The sequence below is a fragment of the Homo sapiens genome, chromosome 11 (assembly GCF_000001405.40).
Source record: "Homo sapiens chromosome 11, GRCh38.p14 Primary Assembly".
NCBI classification, from domain to species: Eukaryota; Metazoa; Chordata; class Mammalia; order Primates; family Hominidae; genus Homo; species Homo sapiens.
In genome coordinates this window covers 72,351,054-72,366,828 of record NC_000011.10, presented here as the reverse complement: position 1 = coordinate 72,366,828, position 15,775 = coordinate 72,351,054, and the positions used below count along the sequence as shown (strand labels likewise).

At 45.4% G+C, this 15,775-nt stretch overlaps 1 protein-coding gene and 1 long non-coding RNA gene across 10 annotated transcripts in view; one reads left to right on the top strand and one right to left on the bottom strand.

Moving 5' to 3' along the window:
- Positions 1-15,775, top strand: part of CLPB (ClpB family mitochondrial disaggregase) — a 149,037-nt gene that overhangs the window by 67,703 nt on the left and 65,559 nt on the right. For all 8 annotated transcript variants that reach the window (NM_001258393.3, XM_005274320.2, NM_001258392.3 and 5 more), the window contains one exon: positions 7,821-7,949. In NM_001258393.3, the coding sequence (NP_001245322.1) occupies positions 7,821-7,949 (129 nt within the window). The remainder of the gene's footprint in view (positions 1-7,820; positions 7,950-15,775) is intronic.
- On the bottom strand, positions 3,374-15,450 carry LOC112268077 (uncharacterized). Of its 2 annotated transcripts, none has more exons than XR_007062768.1 (3): positions 12,135-12,313; positions 11,454-11,678; positions 3,374-3,446 (listed from the first exon to the last, which is right to left on the bottom strand). It is a non-coding gene; the product is annotated as an uncharacterized LOC112268077 (long non-coding RNA). The 2 variants fall into 2 exon arrangements; XR_002957257.2 differs by lacking the exons at positions 3,374-3,446; positions 12,135-12,313 and adding exons at positions 14,018-14,057; positions 15,362-15,450 and having other exon boundaries at positions 8,845-11,678.

Sequence of the window (15,775 nt, the reverse complement as noted above, 5' to 3'; positions counted from 1 at the left end):
GAGAAATCTCCAAACAGCTTTCCATAGTGGCTGAACTAATTTACATTCCCTCCAACAGTGTATAAGCATTCTCTTTTCTCTACAGCCTCACCAATAAGAGCCATTCTGACTGGTGCGAGATGGTATCTCATTGTGGGTTTGATTTGCATTTCTCTGATGATTAATGATGTTGAACATTTTTTCATATGTTTGTTGGTTGCTTGTATGTCTTCTTTTGAGAAATGTCCTTGTCTTTGGCCCATTTTTTAAATGGGATTTGTTTTTTGCTTTGTTGAGTTGTTTAAGTTCCTTATAGATTCTTGGCTGGGTGCGGTGGTTCATACCTGTAATCCCAGCACTTTGGGAGGCTGAGGCAGGTGGATCACCCATGGTCAGAAGTTCAAGACCAGCCTGGCCAACATGGTGAAACCCTGTTTTAGAAAACAGGGTTTTCTAAAAATACAAAAATTAGCCGGGTGTGGTGGTGCACACCTGTAATCCCAGCTATGTGGGAGGCTGACACAGAGGAATCGCTTGAGCCTGGGAGGCGGAAGTTGCAGTGAGCCAAGGTCACACCATTGTACTCCAGCCTGGGTGACAAAATGAGACTCCATCTCAAAACAAAACAAAACAAGACAAAAGACCCACATAAGTTCCTTATAGATTCTGGATATTAGACCAGTGTCAGATGCATAGTTTGCAAAAATATTTTCTCCCATTCTATAAGTTGTCTGTTTACTCTGTTGATAGTTTGTTTTGCTGTGCAGAAGCTCTTTCATTTAATTAGGCCCCATTTGTCAATTTTTGTTTTTGTCATAGTTGCTTTTGAGGACCTAGTAATAAATTCTTTGCCAAGGCTGATGTCCTGAAGGGTATTTCCTAGGTTTTCTTCTAGGATTTTTATAGTTTTAGGTTTTACACTTAAATCTTTAATCCATCTTGAGTTGATTTTTGTATATGGTGAGAGGTAGAGGTCCAGCTTCATTCTTCTGCATGTGGATAGCCAGTTATCCCAGCACCATTTATTGAATAGGGAGTCCTTTCCCCGTTGCTTATATTTGTTGACCTTGTTGAAGATCAGTTGGGTATAGGTGTGTGGCTTTATTTCTGAGTTCTCTATTCTGTTCCATTGGTCTATGTGTCTGTTTTTGTACAGTGCCATGCTGTTTTGATCACTATAGCCTTGTAGTATAGTTTGAAGTCAGGTAGTCTGATACCTTTGGCTTTGTTCTTTTGCTTAGGATTGCTTTGGCTGTTTGGACTCTTTTTGGTTCTATATGCACTTCACCATTTAGAGTATATAACTCAATGGTTTATATAGTATATTCACAAGAGTTGTGCAAACTATTATGACAATCAGTTTTAGGACATTTTTATCACTCCATAAAGAGACCTCGTATTCATTATCAGTCACTCTCCATTTCTCTTCAACTATTCCCAGCTCCTGGCAACCACTAATTTACTTTCTGTCTCCATAGATTTGCCTAATCTGGACATTAAATAGAAATTGAATCTTATTTTATTTTTTGAGACAGGGTCTTGCTCTGTCCTCCAGGCTGGAGTGCAATGGTGTGATCACGGCTCACTATAGCATTGACTTCCTGGGCTTAAGGGATCCTCCATCTCAGCCTCCTGAGTTGCTAGGACCACAAGCATGTGCCACCACAGCCCCTAGTTAATTCTGTACTTTTTAGTAGAGACGGGGTTTCACTATGTTAGCCAGGCTGGTCTCGAACTCCCAACCTCAGATGATCCTCCTGTTTCACACTCACAGAGTGCTGGGATTACAGGTAGGAGCCACCACCCCCAGCCTCATTGTGGTTTTGATTTGCACTTTCCTGATAGCCAGTGATATTGAGCATCTGTTCATGTGCTCTTTGGCCATTTGTATGTCTTATTTGGAGAAATGTCTATTCCAGTCCTTTGTCCATTTTTTAAATTAGGTTTGCCATTGACTCTTGTGAGATAGGTGATATTATCTGTTTGGAGATGAAGAAGCTGAATCTCACAGATGTTAATAAAGTCACACAGTCAGTTTTGCTTTCCAGGCTTGCTGACTCCAGCCCCCATGGTCTTTCTAATACACGTTGCTGCCTGCTGAGGAGTCATACTGGGGTCACCAGGGTCCTCTATGTGGCAGGAAGGGAGGAGGAAAGGAAAAAGGTGGGAAGGAAAATTTGTTTGAAGGCTGGGTGCAGTGAGTGGTTCATGCCTGTAATCTTAGCACTTTGGGAGGCTGTGGCAGGAGGACCACTTGAGCCCAGGAGTTTGAGACCAGCCTAGGCAACATAGGTAGACTCCATCTCTCTCTATATATTTTTTTTTAATAAAAAAAAATTTTTTGGCCGGGCGCAGTGACTCACACCTGTAATCCCAGCACTTTGGGAAGCTGAGGCAGGTGGATCATCTGAGGTCGGGAGTTCAAGACCAGCCTGGCTAACATAGTGAAACCCCATCTCTACTAAAAATACAAAATTAGCTGGGCATGGTGGCGCGTGCATGTAATCCCAGCTACTCGGGAGGCTGAGGCAGGAGAATCACTTGGATTGTTGCAGTGGTTGCAGTGTTGCGGAGGTTGCAGTGAGCCGAGATCATGCCATTGCACTCTAGCCTGGGCATCAAGAGTGAGACTCCATCTCAAAAAAATAAATAAATAAAAAGTAATTGGAATACACTTCATGCTGAAGCTCTCTACACTTTTTTTAGTTTGAATGGTGGTGGAAAAGATGAAAATGATGAGATGAAGTAACTCATCCAAGTTGGAAAGTCGGAGACCTTTCTGGTGGGTTGTAGACAACTCCCTCACATACACACACATTGTAGATGCCATTCCTGAGCAGTGGCAAGAAGGGGCAAGTGCTCTGCTTCTAACTGGTGCTGTGATGCCTCAGCAGGGTCTTAATTTGTATAGAGTCTTCAGTGAGAGGAAGCTGAGAGGCCAGAGGCTTCTTCCTAGAGATTCTTGAAAGAAGTTAGCTTAGTCCCTGAGCTTCAGCTGGTATCAACCGACCCTGAGTTATATGAGGCTTGGGCCTGTGGGCATTGGCAGAAGCTGCACAGTACAGAAGATAGAGCAGAGGCCATGGAGCCACTCAGGCTTAGGGTCTAGTCCTAGCCTACCACCGACCAGCATTGCAAGTTGAGCAGGCCACCTAACCTCTTTAAGCCTGTGTTTCCTCATCTGTTCAATAGAGATGATAGTACTTGAACTGTCGGTCCTACATGGATTGTCATGAGGATGAGGGAATGATTGCCTTGAAGTGCTCCCTACACTTTAAAACATGATACAAACATAAGGGGTTATTCTTTTATTTGTCTTATTAGTCATAGAGGTTCCCTCTCATGGAAACATGTTCACATCTTTAAAGGCAAGGGCACTGCTAGACATTCCATAACATTAGATGGCACCGGCTTCTGGGAGTGGCCAGTAGAGGCCGAGAGGGACTCAAAGCTAGGGTTGTCTTCACCTGCAGAAGTGAACAGTAAATAAAGCTTTTGTTATCTAGAGACCACTGCAGGATTTTAACGAGGGTTCAGCTGTCAAACAAGAAACTGCTGAGTGACACCCAGTGAAACAGATGACTCTTAACTCAGAACTCTATTCTTATGCTCACTGTGCCCTCCCTCCTTCCCTCCGTCCCCTCCCCTCCCTTCCCTTCCCTTCCTTCCTTCTTTTACTTTCTCTTTTTTTTTTGAGACAGGGTCTGGCTCTGTCACCCAGGCTGGAGTGCAGTGGCGTGATCTCGGCTCACTGCAACCTCTGCCTTCCTGGCTCAAGTGATCCTCCCACCTCAGCCTCCCGAGTAGCTGGGACTACAGGCATGCGCCACCACGCCCAGCTAATTTTTGTATTTTTTGTAGAGTTGGTGTTTCGCCATGTTGCCCACGCTGGTCTTACACTTCTGAGCTCAAGCGATCTGCCCGCCTCGGCCTCCTAAAGTGCTGGGATTACAGGCGTGAGCCACTGCCCCCACCTCACTTTGCCCACCTCACTGTGCCTTTCTGAGAGGAAAGTATATGCAGGATTCCTCAAGTGAAGCCTTTTTTCACAGAGAAAATACACTTTTGGAAGCCCATGATGAGATAATGACTAACATTTATTGAGAGCTACTATATGCTAGGCACTGTACCCAGCCCCTTTATTCATAGTGTCTCATTTAATCCTTACAACATCCCATGAAGGCGTTACTGTTATTACCTCCACATATAGATAAAGGAGCCTGGCACAGAGAGGTTAGGTAAATTGCCCAAGATTACACAGTCAGTAAGTTCAGAGCTGGGATTCAAACATAAGTGGTCTGACTCCAGGGCCCCACCAAATACTGTTGACTGGTATTACTTTTATTTTTATTATTCCAAAACCAAAGATAATATTAGGACCTTGTTTATGTTTGATGTGTTTATTTGTTGATTCAACAAGTATTTGTCAAGCACATACTTATGGCCATACACTGCTGGGCAATGGAGAAGGTAGTCACACTTCCTGTATTCATTGAGTTTTTTGTCTAGTGGGGAATTGTAGTCAAGTAAGCAAGTGCTTACGATAGAATGTAATAAATACTAGAATTGGGAGATGCCTAAGGTGCTAGAGGAGCTCTTAGGAACAATAACTACCTCAAACGTAGGAGGAATCACTGGAGAAAGTGACTTCTAATCAGAGGCCTAGCGCTGTATTGGAGTTAGCCAACTAAAGGCATGGGAGAGGGGAAGATGTTCCAGGCAGTCGAATAGTATTTACAAAAGCTCAGAGGCAAGAAAGAGCATTAGAAAGGTGATGATGAGAGATGAGACTGAGGTGAGCAGTGGGCCTCCTCTGGACATTCCTTATTAGTTGGGCTATGACACCAGCACTCTCCTGACGTTTGTGCCAAAATAGCCCCAGCTGTGTTCCTTGAGTTCATCTGCTGTTTATGGTAAGTACCCTGTGTATAGCTCTGTCATTGCACATGTGAAATTGTATTATCATTTGTCTGCTCAGTGGTCTGATTCTTGCATTAGGATGTTAGCTTCTGAAAGTCAGGAACTGTGTCTTATTTATTATTATATCTCCAGGAACTACCACCATGCATTGGTGCTCATTAAATGTTGAATGAATGATGTGTTTTCTTTGTAAAATGGATTACACCTTTCCTGCTTTCTTGAGCCAACTATCACTTTTCGTCAGGTTCATCATTATATCCAGCAGTTAATGTCCTATGTGGCAGTTCAGTGATGCCCTTAGGGGCTTTTGAGGTGCTGTACTCTGAATTCCTTTTTCAGCTTTTCATTGTCCTGTTCTTTTCCCTGCCTGCCTGGCCAGTGCTTGATTGTAATCAATCTGCTTGGTTCTGTAGCATCCTCCCTGGCCTTCTTATTTCCTTCTCCTAATCTGCAGTGGGCTGGAAATAAGATCACCTAGCATGATTTGATAAGACTGTAACTAAGGGCTAGTAATCTCTGATTGAGGTCCTAAACGGCTCTCTTATGGGAAAAGTGTAGATGCCATTGCACATGGGACTTGTATGTTAGAGGCCTTTTAACTTCCTGTTCTTCCTGCTCCAGGAAAGGTCAGATAACACTCCTGGGGCAGGAGCAGGGGGTTCATCAGTCTGGAGAGGCCATGTCAGGAGTAGAAGGCTCATTGACCATTGATTCTATAAACCACAAGAAACTAAGAAACTGTTGTCTGTTCTCCAGCTGCACACTCCACCAACTTTATTTTGGCCAAACATTTGAAATGCTTCCATCCACATTAGGTTATCTGAGTGCTAGCTACAAACCTCAGGCCATTTTCTGTTAAGGGCAAATTCTGCAGAGAGTGAGTTTGCACCTTCACCCAAACAGGAAAACAGGATGGAATAAGAGCCAAGGCTGGGACCAGGACATCTGGGCTCTACTTCTTTCTTGGTGTCTGATTTCCTCATTTGGAAATTGAGGGTGACATTATGATATGTGAGAAACAGTGGGGACAATCACTTATTAGCTATGTGACCTCTGAGCCTCAGTTTCCTCATCTATAAAATGGGAATAATAATTACCTACTATGTAAGGTAATTATGAGAATTAAGTAAGATTGTGTGAAGTGACCATGTCAGGCATAGTATAGAAGGTCAGTAAGTGAAATCTATTAGTATGGCTGGGCGCGGTGGCTCACGCCTGTAATCCCAGCACTTTGGGAGGCTGAGGCGGGTGGATCACCTGAGGTCGGGAGTTTGAGACCAGCCTGGCCAACATGGTGAAACCCCATCTCTACTAAAAATACAAAAATTAGCCGGCTGTGGTGGCGGGCACCTGTAATCCCAGCTACTCGGGAGGCTAAGGCAGAGAAACGCTTGAACCGAGGTAGAGGCTGCATTGAGCCAGATCGCGCCACTGCCCTCCAGCCTGGGTGACAGATCAAAACTCCATTTCCAAAAAAAAAAAATCTATTAGTATTTGGAAGAGGCATGGCAGTCTTCTGGCTTTTGGAACTTTATATAGGACATTTAGTATTGCATAGACTCCATTCCAAGACCACTTGAAAAAGAATGGTTTAGGAATTGTCTGGTGCTTTTGACTACATAGGTAAGATCGCCTCTTGACTGAGTGTACCCCTTTATCCAGTGAGAGGTAAGAGGAACCTGTCCTCTGCAGATCCTGTGCTGTGGACTCAGGGAGGAGTATAGGTAGTCAGGACCCAAATTCTACCCCTACAAACTCAGCTCAGGAGGGAATGTAAGACAGTTGCCTGGATAACTTTCACATGGGGGCTAGAAAGAAGCTCCATTGCCTGAGCAGGGGAGAGAGTGCTCTGAGGGGTCTCATTTCCCAAGGGAGGGCCCCAGAGGTGGGGTAACATTCTAATTTATTGTCCAAACTGGAACTGTCTATAACAGCAGAAGAAAACCAGGACCACCCTGGGTAAACAGGGTGTGTGGAGTCACCCAACCCAGAGAGTCCTGGAAAAATGATGGACTGGTTTTATGTTATTTTATATCAAATCAGAGTGAGAAAATCACAAATATTAGCACTAGAGTGAGCCTGGGGGATTTTGGTTCTTTGACCACATGAAATGCTTGTTCTTCTTTCAAAAAATGTTTACAGGTAATAAGGGTAAAAATGCAGATTACAAAATTGCATTTACAGTAAATTCCAATTTTATAGGGGATACACACACACATGAAATTTGGAAGAACATATATCAAAATCTGACACATAGTTTCTCAAGTCACTGAGATATTGGTTCCTTTTCTTTGTTGTACTTTTCTGTGATTTTAAAAATTTAATTGCTTTTATAAATTTTTTAAGCTTTAAAAAATTAAAACCACTTACTTACTAGAATGTAAACATTTTCAGAGCAGAGAGGTATATTAATCTGCTAAAACAGCCTCTGTCTCCTGCCCCACTCTTTCCTTATCCTACCCCAACCTGCTTTCTTTACCTGCATAACTTCTCTTCATCCTTTAAGACTCCTGTCTTCTGGGATCCTCTCTTCATGCCCAAGTTGAGCTAAACTCTCTTCTGGCGTTCTGGTATATTCTCCTATTATACCTCTAACAGAGCATTTATCTCAAACAGTTCTATAAACATCTGGTTATTGTCTGCCTCCCTTGTCAGTTAGGTCAGGGACCTTATCTGATCTATTTCATGTCCCCAGGATGAATCCTAACACATAACAGATGTCAGTAAACATTGTGGAACTAACTGGCCTCTGTTTTGCCTCTTCTTACCCAGCACAGATGGCCAGGAACATAGTAGGTGCCATTTTATGCTTAGTAAGTAGGTAGATGAGTGAGTGAATTAAAATGCCACTAGAAAACAGGTGAGATTGGTGGCTCATGCTGTCGTTGCTAATGGAAGGGTTTGTGTTGCTGTCTCCCCAGTCCTGATCACCCGAGAGGATGACTTCAACAACAGGCTGAACAACCGCGCCAGTTTCAAGGGCTGCACGGCCTTGCACTATGCTGTTCTTGCTGATGACTACCGCACTGTCAAGGAGCTGCTTGATGGAGGTGAGAGCAGAGGTGGAGGAGGGGTGGGGTGGGGGAAGTGGAAGAGGGGTGGGGTGGGGGGGGTGGAGGAGGGGTGGGATGGGGCTTGGCAGGGGGAGAGAGTACTTGGCAGCCTCACTATTCTGGAAATAACATACTTCCCCAGAGCCCTGTTATCCTCCTAGAGCTAGAGATGCCTCGAGAGCAGCTTTGCCTGCTGACAGTGGCAGTGCACACATGTGGTTTGCCCTCCTGTGGCTGATGTGTGTTCTCTGCCTATATGTGGTGTGATACACCATGTCATCCTGCCTGTCTGTGTATGCTGTGAGAGTTTTCTGGACTCTTGCTATCCCTAAAAGTGTTCTCTCTTCTCCCCCGTGACCTCCAAAGCAGAGCTAATGAAACAAAGGACACAGGCTCTTTAAATCCCTCCTAACCCAGGTCACAAAGACATCCTCTTTGGTCCCACCCCCGTCTCAGGCCCCTTTCATTACTCTGGGTCATGGCACCCTATTCTTTTCCGTCATTACACTTGTCACAACCTGAAATTGTTTTTATTTGTTCAATAGCCTTCTCCCTAACTTGTCTCTGAGCTTCTAAAAGGCAAGAACCATGGCTGACTGGTTCAAGTGTCCCCAGCATCTACTATAGTACTTGGCACTTAGTAAGCACTCAATAAATCAATGAATAATGAATACCCTCCCTTTGGAGAACATCAGTTAATTGGAGAGACAAAACATGCCATCCCCAGACTCAGGCTGGGCAAGTCCTGTCCAAGTCTGGTAGTGCTACCTGCCAGACACATCCCAGTCACTTTCTTTCCCACTTCCCCATATCCCACTCCTGCCTCTCCTTGGGAGAGTGTGGGAAGCATCTGGCCAGGATGTGTGGAGCACAGACCCCTGAGTGAGTACATGGCACATGACTGCCTGTTCATGCCTCCTCTGGTGCTTTTTGAGGGCCAGGGATCCTCTCTTGGGGCTAGACCCCAGGGTCTTCCTTGTTGGGATCATTCTTCATAGAACCTGAGCACTGGAAAGGTCCTCAAAGGTCTCTGGGCCACTCTGATGATTGCCTGCCTCTCTTCCAGCAGAACCCTCTCCAACAGCTGGCTAGCTGACATTTTTCAGAGACAGAAGGAACCTCCTTCTTCCCCAGGGAGACTGGTTGAAACCTTTTTTTTTTTTTTTTTTTTTTTTTCTGGGACACGGAGTTTTGCTTTTGTTGCCCAGGCTGGAGTGCAATGGCACAATCTTGGCTTACCGTGACCTCTGCCTCCCGGGTTCAAGCAATTCTCCTACCTCAGCCTCCCGAGTAGCTGGGATTACAGGCATGTTCCACCACATCTGGCTAATATTGTATTTTTAGTAGAGACAGGGTTTCTCCATGTTGGTCAGGCTGGTCTCGAACTCTCAACCTCAGGTGATCCACCCGCCTCAGCCTCCCTAAGTGCTGGGCCACTGCGCCCGGCATGGTTGAAACATCTTTTTAATGAGCTGTGGTCTTCTCTATAACTTATGCCAACTGTCTTTTGCTACCTAGTCACTTTTCCAAATACCAGTCTTCAAAGAAAGTTCTTTCAGTCCCAGAGCCTTTGCCTCCACAGGCCCAGCATCCCCAGATCATCTTCTCATTGGCCTCTGGGAACTTCCCAGGAACACGCACGTAATCTTGCCACTTTCTGTCAGCCACAGCCATGCTAGCTTAAAACCCAGGCCTGGCCTGTATCCCCAAGCCTACAAGGGACCTGCCCCAGAGCAGCCAGAATATGCTTTGTTCTAGGGCACAGCCACTGAAGGGCAGGACTACTTGTGGATGTGGCAGCAGTTCTTGGGATGACTGATGCTTCTGGAGCGAGAACTTGCTGTTCTCAGAAGCAGAGACTTAGAAAACATCCCCAAGCAGAAAGCTTCTTCCTTTGTCCGTTGGAAAACTCTGTGGCAAGACATTTGTAGCTAAGAATTGGAGTGTTCACCAAGGACATTATCTCTGCCGTGCCTTAAAATCAATCAATACTCCCAGCTATTGTCCAGTAGTTTACATTCTCTGCTTCCCCCAACCCCCAGACAAGAGAATTCACTTTATAAGGAGCCCCTCTTCCTAGCCTTCTAGATCGAACACCTTTGAAATGAAAAGACGAGGGCCTTTTATGAAACTCCCTCTATCCTCACCCCCAGGCCAAGGCTGGCCCTTTGAGCCGTTCCAGGGGCATGGTTCCTGCCTGTTGACTTGGAACAGATGCCCTTAGCCCCCACCTTTACATTTCTCCCACCTGCCTTTTTAGCCAGCATACATTTACACCCCTTGCCCTAGCCTCCCAGCCTCAAGGGCCAAAACCATTAACCCACTATTTCTCCCTCCCAACCCTGAACAAGTTGCCGTCACTCAGGGCCTGCAGGCTGCCAACTTCTGACCTCCCTTCCCCCTTGACCTCCCTTGGTCTGCCTGTGTGTGTGACCAGCCAACCGAGAGGCAGGATCCTGCTCTATCATTCTAGGGGCTGTTGCCAGTAATATTTCCAGAGTCTTTTGACCTCAGCTGACCCTCTCCAAAGGGTTTCAGGAAAGGCAAGGGAGCCTACCTTCCTGCCCATCTGGCTGGCTTTTTTTTTTTTTTTTAATTGAGACAGATTTTCGCTCTTATTGCCCAGGCTGGAGTGCAATGGCGCGATCTCGGCTTGCCACAACCTCCGCCTTCAAGCGATTCTCCTACCTTCAGCCTCCCAAGTAGCTAGGATCACAGGCGTGTGCCACCACACCCAGCTAAATTTGTATTTTTTTTAGTAGAGGTAGGGTTTCTCCATGTTGGTCAGGCTAGTCTCAAACTCCCGATCTCAGGTGATCCGCCCGCCTCGGCCTCCCAAAGTGCTGGGATTACAGGCATGAGCTACCGCGCCCAGCCCCATCCGGTTTTCTTAGGCTGTACTTGCCACCAGCTTTGCTGCAGTAACTAAAGGGAGATTCTGTGAGATCCAAAGCAGGCCTAAATACAGAGGCCAGCCTGTGCTCACAGGGCCCACACAGAACAGTTTCCTTGAAATTACTTAGTCCTCAGGGATTTAGGGTCCCCAGACCTTAGAGGGTTAGAGCTAGAAAAGTCAGCTGCTCTTGCTGTCTGACCAAAAGTCCCCATTTGAGCTGGGAGGAGATTCAGACAGAAGCATCAGGCTGATAATGTGGAAAGCTCTCTGGCCCATTAGGAGGTGGCATGGAGTAATAGAAAGGGAACCTCAGGCTTCAGAATCAGGCCAACCTAGGTTTGAATCCCAGTTTACCCACCTATTAGCTGTGTTGCCTTGGGCATGTTTCCTTAATTCTCTAAGCCTCAGTTTTCGTACATCTAAAATAACACCTGTTTCACAAGGATAGCATGAGGATTGGTGGTATTTTTTATGAAAGCCCCTGGCAGGCACATGGTAGGTTCCCTGTTATAAGTACTTATCATTGTGACATGTATAAAGAAATCAAACTCTCATTCTGGCAGCTGTAATTCCATTCCTCCCCAATATAGAACCTTTACTCCTACCTTAAGGCCTCTTAATTCTGTCTTTACCTACGATATTCCCATCCTGCCTAAAGTGCCATCATGTTCCCTGTTTTCTTATCTGAATCCTCAGACTCTTCAAGGCCTCTCTCTCTTAAGAAGCCTTTCTTCGTCGTCTGGTCTACTCCGATACTTCCTCCTCCAAACTTGTACAGCATTGTACAGCTTAGCACAGACTGCTTAACGTCGTCTCATTTTCGGGAGACCCTGTAGCATAGTGAAAAAGAAACAAGCTTTGAAGTCAGACCTGGGTTTAAATCTCAGCCTTGTCAAGTGACCCTGGGCAAGCCACTTGCCATCTCTGAGACCATGGGCCTCAGGGAATCCTAAGACAGATCAGGCAAACTGTCACTGACCCTGAGAGGCTCTCACACTGTCAGAGGAGATAGATGTGGAAACAGACCATGATAATGGGGTAGGTGCTCTGGCAGGCGCCTGGACAAGGGGCTCTGGGGACGAACAGGGGGAAATGATGTCTTCTGCCTGGTGATCAGAGAGGTAGAATCAGTTACAGAAGGCTTCCCAGAGGAGGGGGTGCTTAGGCCTTATCAGGAAGGATGATGGGAGTTTGCCAGAGTTCTCCAGAAGGGTTTTGAATTAACTAGTGCCAGTCTTCTACTCCCAACCGCCACAGAAAAGTACAGAGACCCTCATGTTTTTTACCTTGGAAGATGCTGCTTTTGCCTGTGTTGATGGCTTATCAGCAGGAAGGCTCTGCTTCAGCACTTGAATGCAGGTGTGGTGGGAGGGAGGGAGGAAGGTGGGGAAGAGGCAGTAGGACTAGAAAGAGGAGTGATCAGGGAAGGTGGCTGGAGCCTCATACTTCAAGTGCCTGAAGATGACTCATCTTGATATTTCCAGGACTGTTAAGTTGCTTTGGCAACCAGGTCCTCTCAGGGATGTGATCCCACCGGCAGATCCATCTTCCTAAAACATATCTCTAATCATGGCCGTTTTTCTTGACCAAGGTTCCTCCAGAGAATTGAGCCCTCATTCTCCAAGGCATCCATCGTACACAGGAATTAACTTCTCTCCCAGGAATCTAAAATGGTACTAGCTATATATATATATATATATATACACACACACACATCTTTGGAAGCATTGAGAAAATCACTAGTCAATTTTTTTTTGTATGTGCTTCAAAGGAGAACCCCCAGCTAAGAGAGGTTGCAAGGGAAGAGCATGAATATTGGAGTCAGGATCTTGGTACCAGCCCTGCCATTTAATAGCTATGTGATCCAGGGCAAATTACTGACTGTTCTGAAGTTCTTTCTCCTCATCTGGAAATGGGGGTGGCGCCACCTACCTCCTAAGGATTTGTAAGGATTAGGACATATGTACTTCTCCAGAGTAGGTACTTTATATATAGTCTCTGTTATTATTAACTTCAGAAACACTCAGTGCTCACTCGTTTAAAAAAAAATTCTAACCATACTAATGCTTTTAACTGGTTTTAGAGTTGTTCTAGTCTGACCCTCACCTACCTTTTCCCCTACTGGAGCCCTAATACTCCAGCTACACTGTGTTCCCACCTTGGTGCCTTTATTCTCGCAGTTTGTTCGGCCTCTCTGTCCCCTTTAAGACCATTTTGCATGCTGGTGGAGTTCCTTTTACCAGTCAGTCACCAGCCTCATGCCACCTTCCTTCTGAAGTCTTTCCTGTTCTCTGGATTTGGGTCCAGTCTCACTTACTAGACCAAGGTGGATGAAGGCCAGGCCTGTGTCTTTTTTTGTCTCCATCTCCTTTGCTGCAATGCTCTGCACATGATTTAGTATGTTTTTGAATTGGATGCACTGATAAATCTCCAAAACCACTGTAGGTTTTCTTTTGGGAGATGTGGTGTCTTTACTTTTTGGTCTACTCTTTGCTGATCCCCTTCCCCGACTCTTAATTTCCTAATGTGTCTGACTTTTTAGAGCTTCACTTATGAGCCACCTCTGCCTGGCTACCTTCCTTCTCCTTACAGTCATAATGCCACTTCCTTTTCAGTCACTGGTGCTCTCACTTCAGAAACACTTGGGCTTTAACGAAACTTAATACTTTCCCTGGGGCCTCTCTCAGCCTCCTTCCCACCTACTTTAGTGAATCCTCCTTGCCCCATCTCCAAGTCTGCACTGAGTTATCAGTGTTAACTAGCCATCATCAAATGAGTCCTTAAATTCCCCACCATCCCTGCCTGAGGCAAAGATCCTTTCCAGTGGTGCCATCCCCTTTAACAGCCTCTTGGCTTGTTGTCAGGACCCAAAACTTAAGAGTTCGCTTCTTGTTACACTTCACCGTCTGTCCATCTGGCGGCACTGCCTGATGTGGAGAGAATCAGCTGTGCCTCAGGCTGTCTGTCCTCTGTTGAAGCTCCACACTCTGATTCACGCCAGCAGTACAGAGAAGGGGAATGAGCACTGGGTGAAGGATCAGATGTTCTGGCTCTGCCACCAACAAATCCTTTCACCTTTAGGCATATCCTCTCTCCTCCTCAGTAAAATAAAGAAGTTAGGATAGCAGATCCCAAGGACCCCTTCCAGCTCCAGCATTCTTTCACTTACCAGATTCTTACTGATCATCTCTGCTGCCACAAGCCCTGCCCTAGGCACCAAGGAAATAAAGATGATCCAGACATGATTTTTGCACTTAAGTAACTCACAGTTCTATGAGAAAACCAGACATTTTAACCAAGAATTGCTATCTGGTGTATTAATGGAGATCTGTAGAAGGTGCTGTGAGATCACAAAGAAAAGACCTTTTAAATCTTGAAGAGGGCAGGGAAAGCATGATGTAGGAGATGGTGTTCACACCAACTCTTGAAGGATGAATGCAAGTGTACCAGGTAGATGAGGTAGGAAGGCGGAGGGAGCAACGTGTTCAAAGGCATGGAGTATGAAGCAGCATACTTTACTCAGAATATTGCAGGTAGTTCAGAAGAGCTGGAGGGTATCAGAGGGCAAGAATGGAAAGCAGGAGCTAATATTGAAGGTCACTAATGTAAGCTGTGCTGAGGAGACTGGACTTATCCTGCAATGGAAAATCATTAAGATTTAGAGGAGGACTAGGATAGGCTTTATGTATAATGTGAAAGATAGTTAAAATGTTTATCAGTAGCTGAATGGATGAATAAATTGTGGGATGGTCACACAATGGAATAATGTACAATGGGCTTGAGTCAACTCTTGCTGTGTGCTACAACACAAACCTTACATCAGGTCACAAGCCAAACAGAAGAGTGCTTACTGTATGCCTGCATTTAAATTCCAAAATAGAGAAAACTAATCAGTGGCATAAGAAGTCAGGGTAGTGCTTAACCTCGAGAGTGTGGGTAGTGACTGGGAGAGGCCGTGAGGGGATCTCTGGGATGCTGTAATGTTATTTATGTAGATGCTGGTTATGTGGGTGTGTCCGTTTTGTGAAAATTGAGTTGTATCCTTATGTACTTTTTGTGCTTTTCTTTATATGTTACACTTGAAACAGGTTTTAAAAAAAAATGAGGGGAGGCTGGGTGCGGTGGCTCTTGCCTGTAATCCCAGCACTTTGGGAGGCTGAGGTGGGTGGATCCCTGAGGTCAGGAGTTCAAGACCAGCCTGGCCAACATGGTGAAACCCTGTCTCTACTAAAAATACAAAAATTAGCCAGGCATGGTGGCAGGTGCCTGTAATCCCAGCTACTTGGGAGGCTGAGGCAGGAGAATCACTTGAACCTGAGAGGTGGAGGTTGCAGTGAGCCAAGATCATGCCATTGCACTCCAGCCTGGGCGAGAAGATCAAAACTCCGATTCAAAAAGAAAAAGAAAAATTATATTTTTAAAGGCATGCAAAATATAGCCCCAAATGTGCCACTAATTTCTATAGACATAAAATTACTCTGACTAGTTGCTATAAAAGTTTCCAGACACTTACTGTTTGTATTTATCCCATCAAAAGCTGGTGGCAAAGTTCACCGTCTGGCACCAGTACACAGACCACATTTAAAACATGACTGCTTTGCTGGTACTCCCAGGCAGAAAGGGGAGACAAATGAGCAAAATAGAGCCTCTGCCCTCAACTAGCTTAAAGTCCAGTGGTATAGACATTCTGGGACAAATATAGTCACACTGTGTGGCAAAGAGGTCACAGCACTGCCATTATGATGTAGACATCAGGGACTGTGATCCACCCCAGTTCTGCCACATCTCACCCTTCTCTAACATGGCCCTTCTCTAACATCACTTTTTTCCTCTATAAAATCATGGCCCTTCTCTAACATCACTTTTTTCCTCTATAAAATGAAGAACTTGTGTCAGGTGATTGAATACTAAAGGTTTCTTCTTCTTG